Here is a 13656-nt window from a genome sequence, read left to right as displayed (position 1 = left end):
CACACCCTCCTCTTTCCTAAACTTGGGGAACTCATCTGCTTTTAAGGGGAGATCATTATGATCATCACTGTGATCTTTGGCATCAAGGCCAATTGGTGATTTGGTTTTATTGTTGGAGATGTGGCCAATGGAGTGACTTGAGCAGGTCACAGACTTGCCTTCACTCTCTCATTTGGACCCAGCACCTCTCCAAGGACATCAGTGCAATTTTCTCAGGATTTGCCTGAGTTCAGTATCCAGGTTATGCCATTTCACAAGCATCGTGCCTTTTTACATTCACAGTGGGTATGGGGTTCCCCTTATTTGGACTTATTAATACAAAGGACATTAAAAATAATCCCCTCCCATTGCCTCTGTCTTGGTTGTGCCCTGAAGTCTCAGATGCAGTGGAGTATGGGAGTGAGGGCCCTCAAAATCTCTCTCTAGATACTTACCCTGGACGAAAGGCACTCACCTGGCTCCACTCTCATAATTAACCACAGCATACACCTTGGTAGCTGTGGCTCAGGTTTCCCAGTCTTCTCAGGAGATAGCCCTCCATATTAGTTTTGTTGGGATCCAACAAAGGCAACCATTATTTCCTCATTACTCTCAAGTCTAAAGTCAGAGAAGGCCTACCAATTGCTTGTTTAATTGACTTATCCAGATTGCCCTTTGAGATATTATGAGTAACTCCCTAGAAATGGTCTCTTCTTTGAAAAGAAATTCTGTAGGACATTGGCAACTTCTTTATAGATATGTCTGTGATTCTAAAAGGACATATACTGATGAGATAAAAGCTGATTTTCAATATTTTTTAAAGTTTGTCTCATGGACAAGATAAGCAAATTCTAAATAGACTTTAAGAAAATTCCTTTTTGAAGCTTCTCATTGATTTATGAGCCTTACAAGTATAACCCCTGGAAAATAACATGTAGGATTATGGGATTTCTTTTGTGTATTTGCTATGAGGATGAAATAGAGTTTTGGAATTATTGAGGCCAGACGCAAAGGGAAATTAAATATGCTCTGTGGATGAAAAGAAATGTTTAAAAATTGCCCTACAAGACATAGCAGGTAATAAAGCACCAGGGCCAGATGGATACACAGCTGTATCACACAGAACATTTACTCATAAATTACTTCTAATTTTAGAAGAGGTTTATAAACATGCTTCAGCAACTGAGGAAACTTCTTGTCTCCATTTCACTGGCAAGAAAAAAGAAATGTATAGGCTATAAATTCATTTTATTCTTTAACCAAAAAACTATGACTGTTAGATTTATAAAGCAGTATACTTACCATTATCAAGTGGATTTATTTTATGGAAAATCTCTGAAAAATAATAATTATTACATATTTTACATTATAAATACTAGATCATTGAAAAATAGATATGGATAAGGTCTTCACCTAGTGAATTAAGAGCTGAAAAAAGCACTTATATCAAAGAAATAGTCACAGAAGGTGGCCGGGCACGGTGGCTCATGCCTTGTAATCCTAGTGTAGCAGGACGAGCCGCAGACAAAAACTCCTCAGACACCGAGTTAAAGAAGGAAGTGGTTTAATTCCGCCGGGAGCATCAGGCAAGACTCCTGTCTCAAGAGCCAAGCTCCCCGAGTGAGCAATTCCTGTCTCTTTTAAGGGCTCACAACTCTAAGAGGGTCCGTGTGAGAGGGTCGTGATCGATTGAACAAGGGGTACGTGACAGGGGCTGCATGCACCGGTGGTCAGAGTGAAACAGAACAGGCCGGGAAGTTTCATGATGTCTTTTCTATACAATATCTGGAATCTATAGATAACATAACCGGTTAGGTCAGGGGTCGATCTTTAACTACCAGGCTTAGGTCAGGCAGGCCCAGGCCTGGTTTCGGGTCTGGTTCTTAGGCGCCGGGCTGCCTGCATTTTGTTTTGCTTTTCTTTTCTTTTCTGAGTATAAAACAATATAAAACAATATGAGAGGGTCTGTCTCTCTTCTCTCACCAGCACTTTGGGAGGCTGAGGGGGGCGGATCACCTGAGGTCAGGAGTTCGAGACCAACCTCAACATGGAGAAACCCCATCTCTACTAAAAATACAAAATTAGCCAGGCGTGATGGCACATGCCTGTAGTACCAGCTACTCGGGAGGCTGAGACAGGAGAATCGCTTGAACCTGGAAGGTGGAGGTTGTGGTGAGCCGAGATCACGCCATTGCACTCTAGCCTGGGCAACAAGAGCGAAACTCCGTCTCAAAAAAAAGGAAAAAAAAAAAAAAAAGAAATAGTCACAGAAGGTTTTTGTAGAAATTTCAAAATTAGTCTGAATGCAAGCAGAATATATATGACTTTTTCATTTCTGTGAACATATCCTTGAAATAATCATAGATATATTAAATTATTTGACATCTTACACATATTTCTTCTTTTCTTTCTTTTTTCTCTTAAAATAAGGTCTCGCTCTGTCACCCAGGCTGGAGTGCAGTGGCACTATCATAGATCATTGCTGCCTAAACCACCTTCACAAAAATTGTAATGGTGAGAAAATTATGGCGGTTAAAGGAGATCTGATTTAACCAATTCACATCTTGCCTTTGGCCTTCAAGCTGCCTTTAATTATTCCTGTGTTTTGGCCAGGCTAACTTCGGGAGACATTTAGTTTATAATTTAAATGGTAATAGCCCTTCCGCAAAACTCAACTGCCTTTGTAAAGCTAATGAGAGACCAGCAGGCTAGGAGGATAGAGGAGCCTGAATTCTGCTAAGGGGTAGACATAAACAATTACCAGCTATTATTCTGCAGGTCACAAGATATGCAACTTCCCCAATTACTCCTGCAGATAACATCACTATTGTAGAACCTCAGATTGGCCTTTGGAGATATCTTTTCAGGATTTTTGCATGTCTGAAACTGATGGCTCAACCTGGACTTGCCAGTCTCTCCTGTGGCCCCACCCAGAAGCAACTCAGCATGCAGGGGGACAACTTCCCATACCCCTAGGACTGCACCCCCAAACAATCAACAGCAGATATCTATTGCCTAGCACCCCACCTCTTCCCCCAAACTACCTTTGAAAATGCTGCTAGCCCCCAAATGCTCAGGGAGATTGATTTGAATGACGCCATCTCCCACTCCCAGGTGTGGCTGGCCCTGTATCAGTCAAACTCTTTCTTTACTGCGGTGCCATAGTCTCTGTGAATTGATTTCGTTTGTGCAGTGATCAGGAAGAACCTGATGGGTGTTTATACCATCTTGAATTACCGGGCACAAGCAATCCTCCAGCCTCAGCCTCCTGAGTAGCTTGGACTGCAGGTATATGCCACCATGCCTAGCTAATTTTTAAATTTTTTGTACAGACAGGATCTTGCTGTCTTGCCCAGGCTGGTCTCAAACTCAAGTGATCAGTCCTCTTGCCTCGGCCTCCCAAAGTGCTGGAATGATAGGCATGAACCACTGAGCTCAGATGTATTTCTTTCTTTTTTATAGAGACGGCATCTTGCTATGTCACCCAGGTTGGTTTCAAACTCCTGAGCTCAAGCTCTCCTCCACCTTGGCCTCCCAAAGTGCTGGGATTGTGGGCATGAGCCACCACACCCAGCCCATATTTCTTAAAGTGTGGTTTGAAATTTAAAAAAAAAACAAAAAAAGGAAAAAAAACAGTCTTCATGTTCAATACCAGGTTTAGTAAATTATATGTTCATAATAGATATTATGCAATTATTATAAATAATATAGAATATTTAACAGCAGAAAAATGGCGATGATATTTTAAGTGGTAAAAGTGACTCCAAATCAGACTTTATGGGATGATTCACTTTTTGTAAAGATAGATAAATGTGTGTTTATGTATCTGCAATGCCTATAAGGGGGACTTGTTAGAATCAATTAAACACTGAGACTCAAGACTATCAGAGGATGCATTTGGCCCAGGCTGCCGTGGAAGGTGTCAGACAGGAACCACAGTGCATCTACAGGGCAGCATCAGGCATTCCTTTTCAGTGTGAGTTCTTGTGCCAGTACAGATGTGGTACAAGGAGAGGCAAAACACATTAGGCAGGCACATGGCTTGGAGGCCTCAAACTTCACAGTGGCTAAACACTTTTTTTAACAACTTAATAGTGTAACTGCTCAGTGGGTTCACCTTGCCAGCTGCCTAGACAGGGCCGATTTATCAAGACAGGGGAATTGCAATAGAGAAAGAGTAACTCACACAGAGACGGTGGTGCGGGAGACTGGACTTTTATTATTACTCAAATCAGTCTCCCCAGGCATTTGGGGATCAGAGTTTGTAAGGACAACTTGGTGGTTGGGGGGCAAGCCAGTGAGCCGGGAGTGCTGATTGGTCAGGTCAGAGGTGAAATCATAGGGAGTCGAGCTGTCTTCTTGTGCTGAGTCAGTTCCTGGGTGGGAGGCACAAGATCAGATGAGCCAGTTTATTGGTCCAGGTGGTGTCACCTGATCCTTCAAGTGCTGGGTCTGCAAAACATCTCAAGCACTGCTCTTAGGAGCAGCTTAGGTAGTGTCAGAATCTTGTAGCCTCCAGCTGCATGACTCCTAAACCGAAATTTCTAATCTTGTGGCTAATTTCTTAGTCCTGCGAAGGCGGTCTAGTCCCCAGGCAAGAAGGAGATTTTCCCTGGGAAAAGCCTGTTATCATCTTTGTTTTAAACTATAAACTATAAACAGGTTCCTCTCAAAGTTAATTCAGCCTATGCCCAGGAATGAACAAGGACAGCTTGGTGGTTAGAAGCAAAATGGAGTTGGTTAGTCCAGATGCAATTTACCAACCAAGGGTCATCTTTATCATTAATCAATGCTGCTTAGTATCACAGTTGATGTTCTACTTGTTAAGCAGTGAAGTACTGAGGTACTTTGTAGGCTTTGGTGTCCTGGGGGGCAGGGTTGGGGCTCCAATACTGACAGATCTTGGGGTAGCCATGGCTGCTGTAGCTCTGAGTGCTGGGAGGAGGGTGGTTGCCCAGGGTGCAGGTTACCTGTAAAGTTCTCATCTCAATCTTTACTCTGAAGTTTCCTTTGAGGCAATTTCCAAAGAGTCAAGAGGTGTGCAGTCCGGGCGCGGTGGCTCATGCCTGTAATCCCAGCACTTCGGGAGGCCGAGGCAGGCGAATCACGAGGTCGGGAGTTCAAGACCAGCCTGGCCAACACGGTGAAACCCCGTCTCTACTAAAAATACAAAAATTAGCTGGGCGTGGTGGCGGGCTCCTGTAATCCCAGCTATTCGGGTGGCTGAGGCAGGAGAATGGCTTGAACCCGGGAGGCGGAGGCGGAGGTTGCAGTGAGCCGAGATCCTGCCGCTGCACTGCAGACTCCAGCCTGGGCGACAGTGCGAGACCCTGTCAAAAAAAAAAAAAAAAAAAAAAAAAAGGTGTGCAATCCATGCAGTAATTTCTAACTGAGCTGTTTCCCTATTCCGTTGGTTCTGAATTAAGGGTCGTTTACCGAGGCCTTAATAGAAGTCCTAATTCATCAATCGAAGGCCCTCAGTATCTAATCGCATTTCCCGTAAGTTCCATTGCAGACGATCTTCTACAGCCAGTGACATCTGCTTTCTGGACCCTGTCATTATGGTGGCTTTTCTCTCTGCGGTGTCTGAGCCCCAAATGCTTCCACTTTGTATAAAACCCTCACTCCTTTGCCAAACCCTAAGACTCCTTAAGGCACAGTTAAGTACCTGCTCTACACAAAGCCTTCCAGACTCACCCCTCCCGTACCCGTAGCTGTGCCCTGCCAGGTCGGTTCATACCCCCTTTCTGAATTCTTTGGCGTGGAAACTCCTCGTGCTCCCAGGATTACCAACTGCTTTTTCCTTACTCCCCTAGCATTCTTTCCCCGTGAAGCCAGCTGTAGTACTGCATGTTCTTCAGTAGGTGGCAACCTTCACAAACAGAATTCAGGCGATTTTGTTGCTTAGCTTGTCAACAGGATAGAGCCCCTAACGAGAGGCGCTGATACCCAGAGCAGCTACCGCTGCTGAGCTTATTCACTAATTAGAAACATTTGCTTTCTTGGAGGCACAGAAACGTTCCTACTATTATTCTGTTTTGTGAGGGAAAGCAGTCTGAGCTGTTATTTAAGTGACTCCGTTTCCCAGCCACCTTGTGTGTAGAAGATCAGAAGATATCAAAGCAATGCTCCTCTTTGTATTTTTCCCCTCAAAGAATTGGGAGAAATCAAGATTTAAAAAAAATTTGAGTATGTGGTTTTTTCTTTTTACAAGATGATAATAATGTAAACTTTTTGTATGGAGTTTGTTATTGTTGTTGTTGTTTTGAGACAGGGTCTCACTCTGTTGCCCAGGCTAGAGTGTAGTGGCGTGATCTCAGCTCACTGCAACCTCTGCCTCCCAGGCTCAGCGATCCTCCCACTTCAGCCTCCCGAGTACCGGGGATTACAGGCGTGCACCACCACATTCGGCTAATTTTTGTATTTTTAGTAGAGACGGGGTTTCACTATTTTGCCCAGGCTGGTCTCGAACTCCTGGCCTCAAGTGATCCGCCTACCTTGGTCTCCCAAAGTGCCGGGATTACAGGCTTGAGCCATCATGCCCAGCCTTGTATGGGGTTTTTATCATTAACAATAGTGAGAAGGAGAGAATTTAAAAAACAAAAAAACCCAAAAAACAAAAAACCCAAGGCTAGACTGCTAATTGAAAACAAAGGTATATGAACAATTAGGTATATTATTCAGAATTCTGTCCTTTAAAAAAAATATTTGAGAATTGGCTGTGTTCTGACATGGAGAAGTTGGCACATAACATGGATACATTTGGCATACAGACATTTCTGGAATACATTTTCTGGAGTGATGACACAGGCATTATTGTACTTGAGATTACTCTTTCTCCGAGTTCACATCTTTTTTTTTTTTTAAGTCGGAGTTTCACTCTTGTTGCACAGGATGGAGTGCAATGGCGCGATATTGGCTCACCGCAACCTCTGCCTCCCAGGTTCAAATGATTCTCCTGCCTCAGCCTCCTGAGTAGCTAGGATTACAGGCATCTGCCACCACACCCAGCTAATTTTGTATTTTTAGTAGACATGGGGTTTCTCCATATTGGCCGTGCTGGTCTAGAATTCCCAGCCTCAGGTGATCTGCCCGCCTCGGCCTCCCAAAGTGCTGGGATTACAGGCATGAGCCACTGCGCCCGGTCCCGAGTTCACATCTTAATTATTTGTTGCCACTTCCTAAGGCATCTTGCTTGGAAAATTAGTGCACTCCTTTTCTTGTGTCCTTCCAGAACTTTGGGTCACCAGTGTGCATTTTACTTGTGGGAAATTTTCCTTGGATCATGCAACCCTTAATAAATATTACTTTTCCCTCAAATCATCTTCAAGTGTAATATAAAAAAAAGAGACTGAATTTTAGCAAGCAAATAGAAATATCTACTTCTAAATAGACACTGTGCTCTTCAAAGAAATCTCTGTGGGGTACCAGGCATTTCTTTTAATAATGATTTGGTGACTCAAAACATTTCCAAACTCCTCTTTTGGTCTTATTTCAGTGCTTGTTGCAATGGGACAAGGTCCGTTCTGGGGCCATTCCATGAATCCTCAGTTCTGTGTATGCTTTTGCATTCTCGTGCTCTTCAGGTGGCATTTATCATGTGAGCTTTGTATCATCCCAGGAGTAACAAATGCCTAATATCCTCTTGTTTACCCTCTCTCAGGATGGTTTTCTAGTATTCTCTCATTTGTACCTTCTATATAGAAGAATGTATTCCCTAAAGCGTTGGTATCTTACCTGAAAATGAATAATTCCTGTTGGACTCACCTACCTCCAAGGCCAGACATCTTCAGGATTAGAAACATAGTTTCTAATTTACACAACAAAATAATGTTTTTCATCACTGTAATCTCTCCCTATTCTTAATTTTGCCATCCTTTCAATGGAAATGTCATATTTTATTAGAGTGTTTATTAGAGAGTATTTTGACTCAAATCTCATTTATTGTACAATTTTTAGGTTAATTCTAATTTTTTCACAATATCCCTGGTTCTGAGACTATTATAGTCATTTTGGTCACCCCCAACACCATTTCAGTTAAATTTCATCCATACCTATTGCTTAGGGCAGATCAATTCAGTTAAATGTTCTTTTTGAACACCAGTTTGTAAGGAATGGTATGCCCTCACAGAAATATATCCTTTGCAAGTAGTCACTCATTTATTAATCAATAATTGGTTAATAGGTATATTCATGCATTCATACAACCACTATTAAGTGAGCACATACTCACTGCAATCATTTATTTACTGCACTACTGATAACGGCAGGTAACAAGGCCCATGATGTGATTCAGTCTCAGTGGAGCTTATTGAACAGTAGGTTGCCACTTTAAGGGCATGGAAAGTAAAATGCTGTTCAGGAAGCACATGCTACGTGTCAGCTACTAAGTGAAATATTGATAGTATTCACTTACCCCTCTCGATTTTTCAGGTTGAGTGTAACTCAAGTAATTTCTATTCTCAACAATGTTAAGAATTGCTCCCAGTGCAAAGATGGAGGAGTTGGAATTTGAACCTAGAGCTGCAGTTTACCTGGGCACCCTAACATGGACACAACTGTCTTGGCCTCAAGTTTCATTGCATCCACCAGATTCAGTTCCCATTTATTGAGAATCCTTCTGTGGGTTCTTTAACTTAGACTTTATGATAACAAATGCAGATGCCAAGAATAGTAGTGATAGCCAGTCCTTAATATAGCACTTCTTCTGTACCAGGCATTGTTCTAAGTGTTGTATGTTTATTCACTCATTTAATCTTCACAAAACTCTGTAAAAGAGATATCCTCATTCTCATTTTATAGAGAAGGAAACAGAAGCACAGAAAGGTCAAGTACGTGGCTGGGCTGGATTTGACTCCAGGTTGACTAAGTGCCAGGGTGTGTGGCTTGAACCATAATTCCATGCTCTCACTAAAGAGTTGAACCCACACTCTAAAACCAACTACGTAATAGCCACTTCATTCCACGGTAACTAGCCAGATGCGGTTGAGCAATTTTGTGTGTGTGAAGACATACATGTGCATACCCACGAAGCAGCCCCTCCTGAGGCACAGGCTTCACTAGGTTGCTTTGGTACTACCCATCAATATCTCTTTACAGGCTACTGGCCAGAAATGACTGAAATGGTGTTTCAGGGCCACAGCAACGTTGAAGTTGCCTGGGACTCTTCTTCATGGTGGACAGGCTCTGATTACACCTATTGCAAAATGCTTTTTGTGTAACTGTGAAAGGAGAAGTTTTAGAAACCTCCCAGATTTTAGGTTAAAAAAACAAAAAACCAACTTGGGAACTTCTTAGAAGTCTCCCATTTTATTTAGAAGTACCTCCATCTGTGTTTAATAGTTTACCACCTATTTTCTTCCTAGCTAGGTTTTTCTGGGTATTTGGTGTAAGCTCAGAGACTGGGTTTGCCATTTAATTATTTAGTCCCCACTACCTCTGGGTTACACAAACAACTCTTTGAACGTAATTTGAGTTTTTAAAAAAGTACTTGTGCATTGTTTTGAAACAAAGGGTTTTTATTTGTTTTGGTCAAAGGTTATTTGTGGACTACAGGCGACCCTCAAGCCTGGCGGCCTTATAAACAATGAAAATATGTTTATAAAGATGTTGCTATATATCAATAAACTACACAGCCTTAGCATTAAGAAGTTTCTAACATAGCAAGATCTTTTTAAATTAGAGTAATTTTCAGATATGTTTGAGATTAGATTAGAACAATTTTCAGTTAGATTTTTTTTTTTGAGATGAGATCTCCCTCTGTTGCCCAGGCTGGAGTGCGGTGGCGTGATCATAGCTCACTGCAGCCTTAAACTCCTGGGCTCAGGCGATCCTCCCGCCTCAGCCTGCTGAGTAGCTGGGACTGCAGGTGCATGCCACCGTATCTGGATAATCAAAAACATTTTTTTTTTTTGTAGAGATAATGTCTCACTTTGTTGCACAGGTGGTCTCAAACTCCTGGCTTCAAGTAATCCTCTGACCTCAGCCTCCCAAAGCACTGAGATCACAGGCATGAGCCACCATGCCCAGCTAATAGGTTTCTTTTTATAGTCAGTTTTGGCATTATTATAATTTGTTGTTTCCAGTCTATGTACTACAGTATTCTGTGCCTTTTGCTCAGCTCACACAATGCAATTTACATATCATTGTTCTAGGTAAGTTGAATGTGGATGTTCAATTAAAAAGTGGTGCTACCAGATTTTTAGGGCAGTGAAATTATTCCATATGATGCTCTAATGGTGGATTCATGTTCTTATACATTTGTCCAGACCCATAGAATGTAAACTATGACTTTGGGTGTTCGTGATATGTCAGTGTAGTTTCATTCATGGTAACAAATGGACTGCTGTGATGTAAAATGTCAAAAGTCAGGGAGGCCGTGTGTGTCGGGGCAGGGGGCACATGGGAAATCTCTGTACCTTCTGCTTGATTTTGCTGTAAACCTAAAACTGCTCTAAAAAAATGAAGTCTTAAAAAAGTCATGCAGCAACCATAATAAGAAGGGAGGAAGACAGGAACAGCAAATAGTGAGTGAGAAAAGCCAGAAGACAATGGTGAAATTTCCTCTCGAGAACACACACTGAGTCTGTGTGTGTGCACGTGCATGTGTGTTTTAATGGTTCAAATAATGACTCAGTTAATGTTAGCTTTAGCTTTCTGTCAAAGGACCTCTGTGTCAAACTTGCCCTTGGTTCTGGCCAATGCAGATTTTTTTTTTTTTGAGATGGAGTCTCTGTCACCCACGCTGGAGTGCAGTGGCGTGATCTTGGCTCACTCCAACCTCTGCCTCCCGAGTTCAAGCAAGTCTTCTATCTCAGCCTTCTAAGTAGGTGGGATTATAGGTGCCTGCCACCATTCCCGGCTAATTTTTGTATTTTTAGTAGAGACGGGGTTTCACTATGTTGGCCAGGCTGGTCTCGAACTCCTGGCCTCAAGTGATCTGCCTTCCTCAGCCTCCCAAAGTGCTGGGATTACAGGTGTGAGCCATCATGCCCTGGCCAGTACAGATTTCTAACTGTGACATACCTGAAGGGCTCTTGACTTCAGGTCTTGCTGAGGGGGATATGGATAGTTGCTGAGAATGATTGAACCTAGTGTTTACGAGAACCATAAGCACATTTCTCCATGGTAAAACTTCATGTGCAAAAAACTAAAAACAACAAAGCAACGTATGGCGTTATTAGTTTCCAACAGCCTGTTCACAAGAGGACTAGTGAACTCTCTGAGCCAGGTGTTGCTAGAAAGTGGTCTCTCTTTGACCCCACTGGCTCCTTTCCCCGCGGTCCTCACTCTGTTGGTCCCGCGCAGCGCTAGGTACTGAGGGATGACATTCTCTTGTGCCACAGCCCTTATATTTGTGGAAAATTTTCTTCTTCTATATCTTCTTCTATATACTTGCCTTTATGTAGTCCTTTCATAATTTATGTGTGCTCATGAGTTCTTTCAACATGAAGGCCTATGTCCTTCAGCTTTGAAAATTCTTTTATTTTCTTTAGTAATTTTCTTTCTTCCCTTTTTCTGTTTTCTCCATCTGGAATGCCTGTTAATTGGATCATGGGCCTCGATTGTAATTTTGGATTAGAATTAGAGTCAAGGGCCGGGCGCGGTGGCTCACGCCTGTAATCCCAGCACTTCGGGAGGCCAAGGCAGGCAGATCACGAGGTCAAGAGTTTGAGACCAGCCTGGCCAACATGGTGGAACACCGCCTCTACTCAAAATACAAAAATTAGCCGGGCATGGTGCCGCATGCCTGTAATCCCAGCTACTCAGGAGGCTGAGGCAGGAGAATCGCTTGAACCCAGGAGGTGGAGGTTGCAGTGAGCCAAGATCGCACAACTGCATGCCAGCCTGGGCAACAGAGCATGACTTTGTCTCAAAAAAAAAAAAAAAAAAAGGGAAAGAAAAAGAATTAGCAGTCAATCCTAATTTTTTAGTCTGCTATAGTATTGTCTTTAGCTTTTTCATTCTACTTTTCCCTCCCTTATGTTGCATTTTTAAAAACTTTAGCAAAGATATTAGTTTTAAAGACCTCTTTGTACTAATATTTGATTTTTAATACTACATTACTTCAGTCCTGTTTCATGGATGCAAAAGTAGTTATTAAGGAGAGTTTTATATTGATCTTCTGTTTTCTGCACTCATTTATTTGTTCAGCAAATGACTGTTGAATTCCTACTTTGGCATTATTTTATGCTTAGAGATATGGCAGTGCATAAAACAAAGTCTGTTTCCTTATAGAATGTGTATCTAGAAGTTTTTTGGCCTGAGCCATCTACTGAGAATGAGAATGGTATGGAGATTTGGAGGCAAGAGATTGGAGTTCACTTCAGGACGTGGTATCAGTTTCCTACTGCTCCTGTAGCACATTACCACAAACTTAGCAGCTTAAAACAACACAGCTGGCCAGGCGCGATGGCTCACGCCTGTAATCCCAGCACTTTGGAAGGCCGAGGTGGGCGGATCACGAGGTCAGGAGATCGAGACCATCCTGGCTAACGTGGTGAAACCCTGTCTCTACTAAAAAATACAAAAAATTAGCCGGGTGTGGTGGTGGATGCCTGTAGTCCTAGCTACTCAGGAGGCTGGGCCAGGAGAATGGCGTGAACCCGGGAAGGGGAGCTTGCAGTGAGCCAAGATTGTGCCACTGCACTCCAGCCTGGGTGACAGAGTGAGACTCCGTCTCAAAACAAAACAAACAAACAAACAAGAAAAACACAGCTGTATTCCCTTACAATTCTAGAGGTCAGAAGTCTGAGAACAGTTTTACTGGGCCAAAATCAAGGTGTCAGCAGGGCCACACTGCCTCTAGAGACTCTAAGGAAGAATCTGTTTCCTTGCCTTTTCCATCTTTTGGAACTGCATTCCTTGCATTCATTCTTTAGTTTGTGGCCCTTTCCTCCATCTTCAAAGTCAGCTTTTTATGTTAGAGAACTTTAGTCAGTATGTGATTGCCTTCATCTGCAGTCCTTTCCCTTTTATAAGAACATTTGAGATGATAATTAGGGTCAATTCGGCTAATTCAGGATAATTTTCCCATGTCAAAAACCTTAACTTAATCACATCTGCAAAGTTTCTTTTGCCACAGAAGGTAACATTTACTAGAGCCAGGGATTAAGATCTGGATAGCTGTGCAGGCCATTATTCGGCATACTGTAGATGTTTTGAGTTTGACATACCTCTTAGACATTCAAGTGGAATATCAAGTCGCAGCTGGTATGTGAGTCTAGAGTTCAGGAAGAGGTCTGAGATAAAGATACAACTTTGGGAGCCATGCATTTAGATATAATATTTAAAGCTAGAGGCCGCATGGGATCACCCAGCAAATGAGCGTAGAGAAAGAATAGAGGATTACTAAGCATGGAGAAACTCCAAGCAGAGGTTGGGAAGATGACAAGTAACCAATAAAGCAGACTGACAGGGAACAGGCAGTGAGGTAGGAGGAGAACCAAAAAAGAGTTAGGTGTGTCTCTAAGCATATCATGAAGAAGGAGTGAGAAACTGTATAAAATTGATAATTGGGTTAGGAAATTTGAAGTCATTAATGATTCTAACAATAACAGTTTTGGTGTATCGTGTGGTTATAAGCCTGACTTAGGACCCCTAAGAATAAGAGGAGAAAAAATAGAGTTAGCGGTTGTAGACAAATCTTTCTGAGAGCATACCTGTAACAGGAGCAGA

General features: G+C 42.4%; 3 annotated features.

Annotated features, from left to right (window-relative positions):
- Nucleotides 1335-1865: an enhancer, noted in NCBI's record as "NANOG-H3K27ac-H3K4me1 hESC enhancer chr9:15139331-15139861 (GRCh37/hg19 assembly coordinates)". NCBI's record gives its function as "activates a minimal SCP1, AML or CMV promoter by ChIP-STARR-seq in primed H9 embryonic stem cells {active_cell/tissue: H9 hESC(primed)}" and the evidence as "EXISTENCE:reporter gene assay evidence [ECO:0000049][PMID:30033119]".
- Nucleotides 1866-2397: an enhancer, noted in NCBI's record as "NANOG-H3K27ac-H3K4me1 hESC enhancer chr9:15138799-15139330 (GRCh37/hg19 assembly coordinates)". NCBI's record gives its function as "activates a minimal SCP1, AML or CMV promoter by ChIP-STARR-seq in primed H9 embryonic stem cells {active_cell/tissue: H9 hESC(primed)}" and the evidence as "EXISTENCE:reporter gene assay evidence [ECO:0000049][PMID:30033119]".
- Nucleotides 2398-2929: an enhancer, noted in NCBI's record as "OCT4-NANOG-H3K27ac-H3K4me1 hESC enhancer chr9:15138267-15138798 (GRCh37/hg19 assembly coordinates)". NCBI's record gives its function as "activates a minimal SCP1, AML or CMV promoter by ChIP-STARR-seq in primed H9 embryonic stem cells {active_cell/tissue: H9 hESC(primed)}" and the evidence as "EXISTENCE:reporter gene assay evidence [ECO:0000049][PMID:30033119]".

This window comes from Homo sapiens, chromosome 9 (assembly GCF_000001405.40).
Source record: "Homo sapiens chromosome 9, GRCh38.p14 Primary Assembly".
NCBI classification, from domain to species: domain Eukaryota; kingdom Metazoa; phylum Chordata; class Mammalia; order Primates; family Hominidae; genus Homo; species Homo sapiens.
The sequence above is the reverse complement of the archived record's forward strand: the minus strand, read 5'-3'. Positions and strand labels throughout refer to the sequence as shown.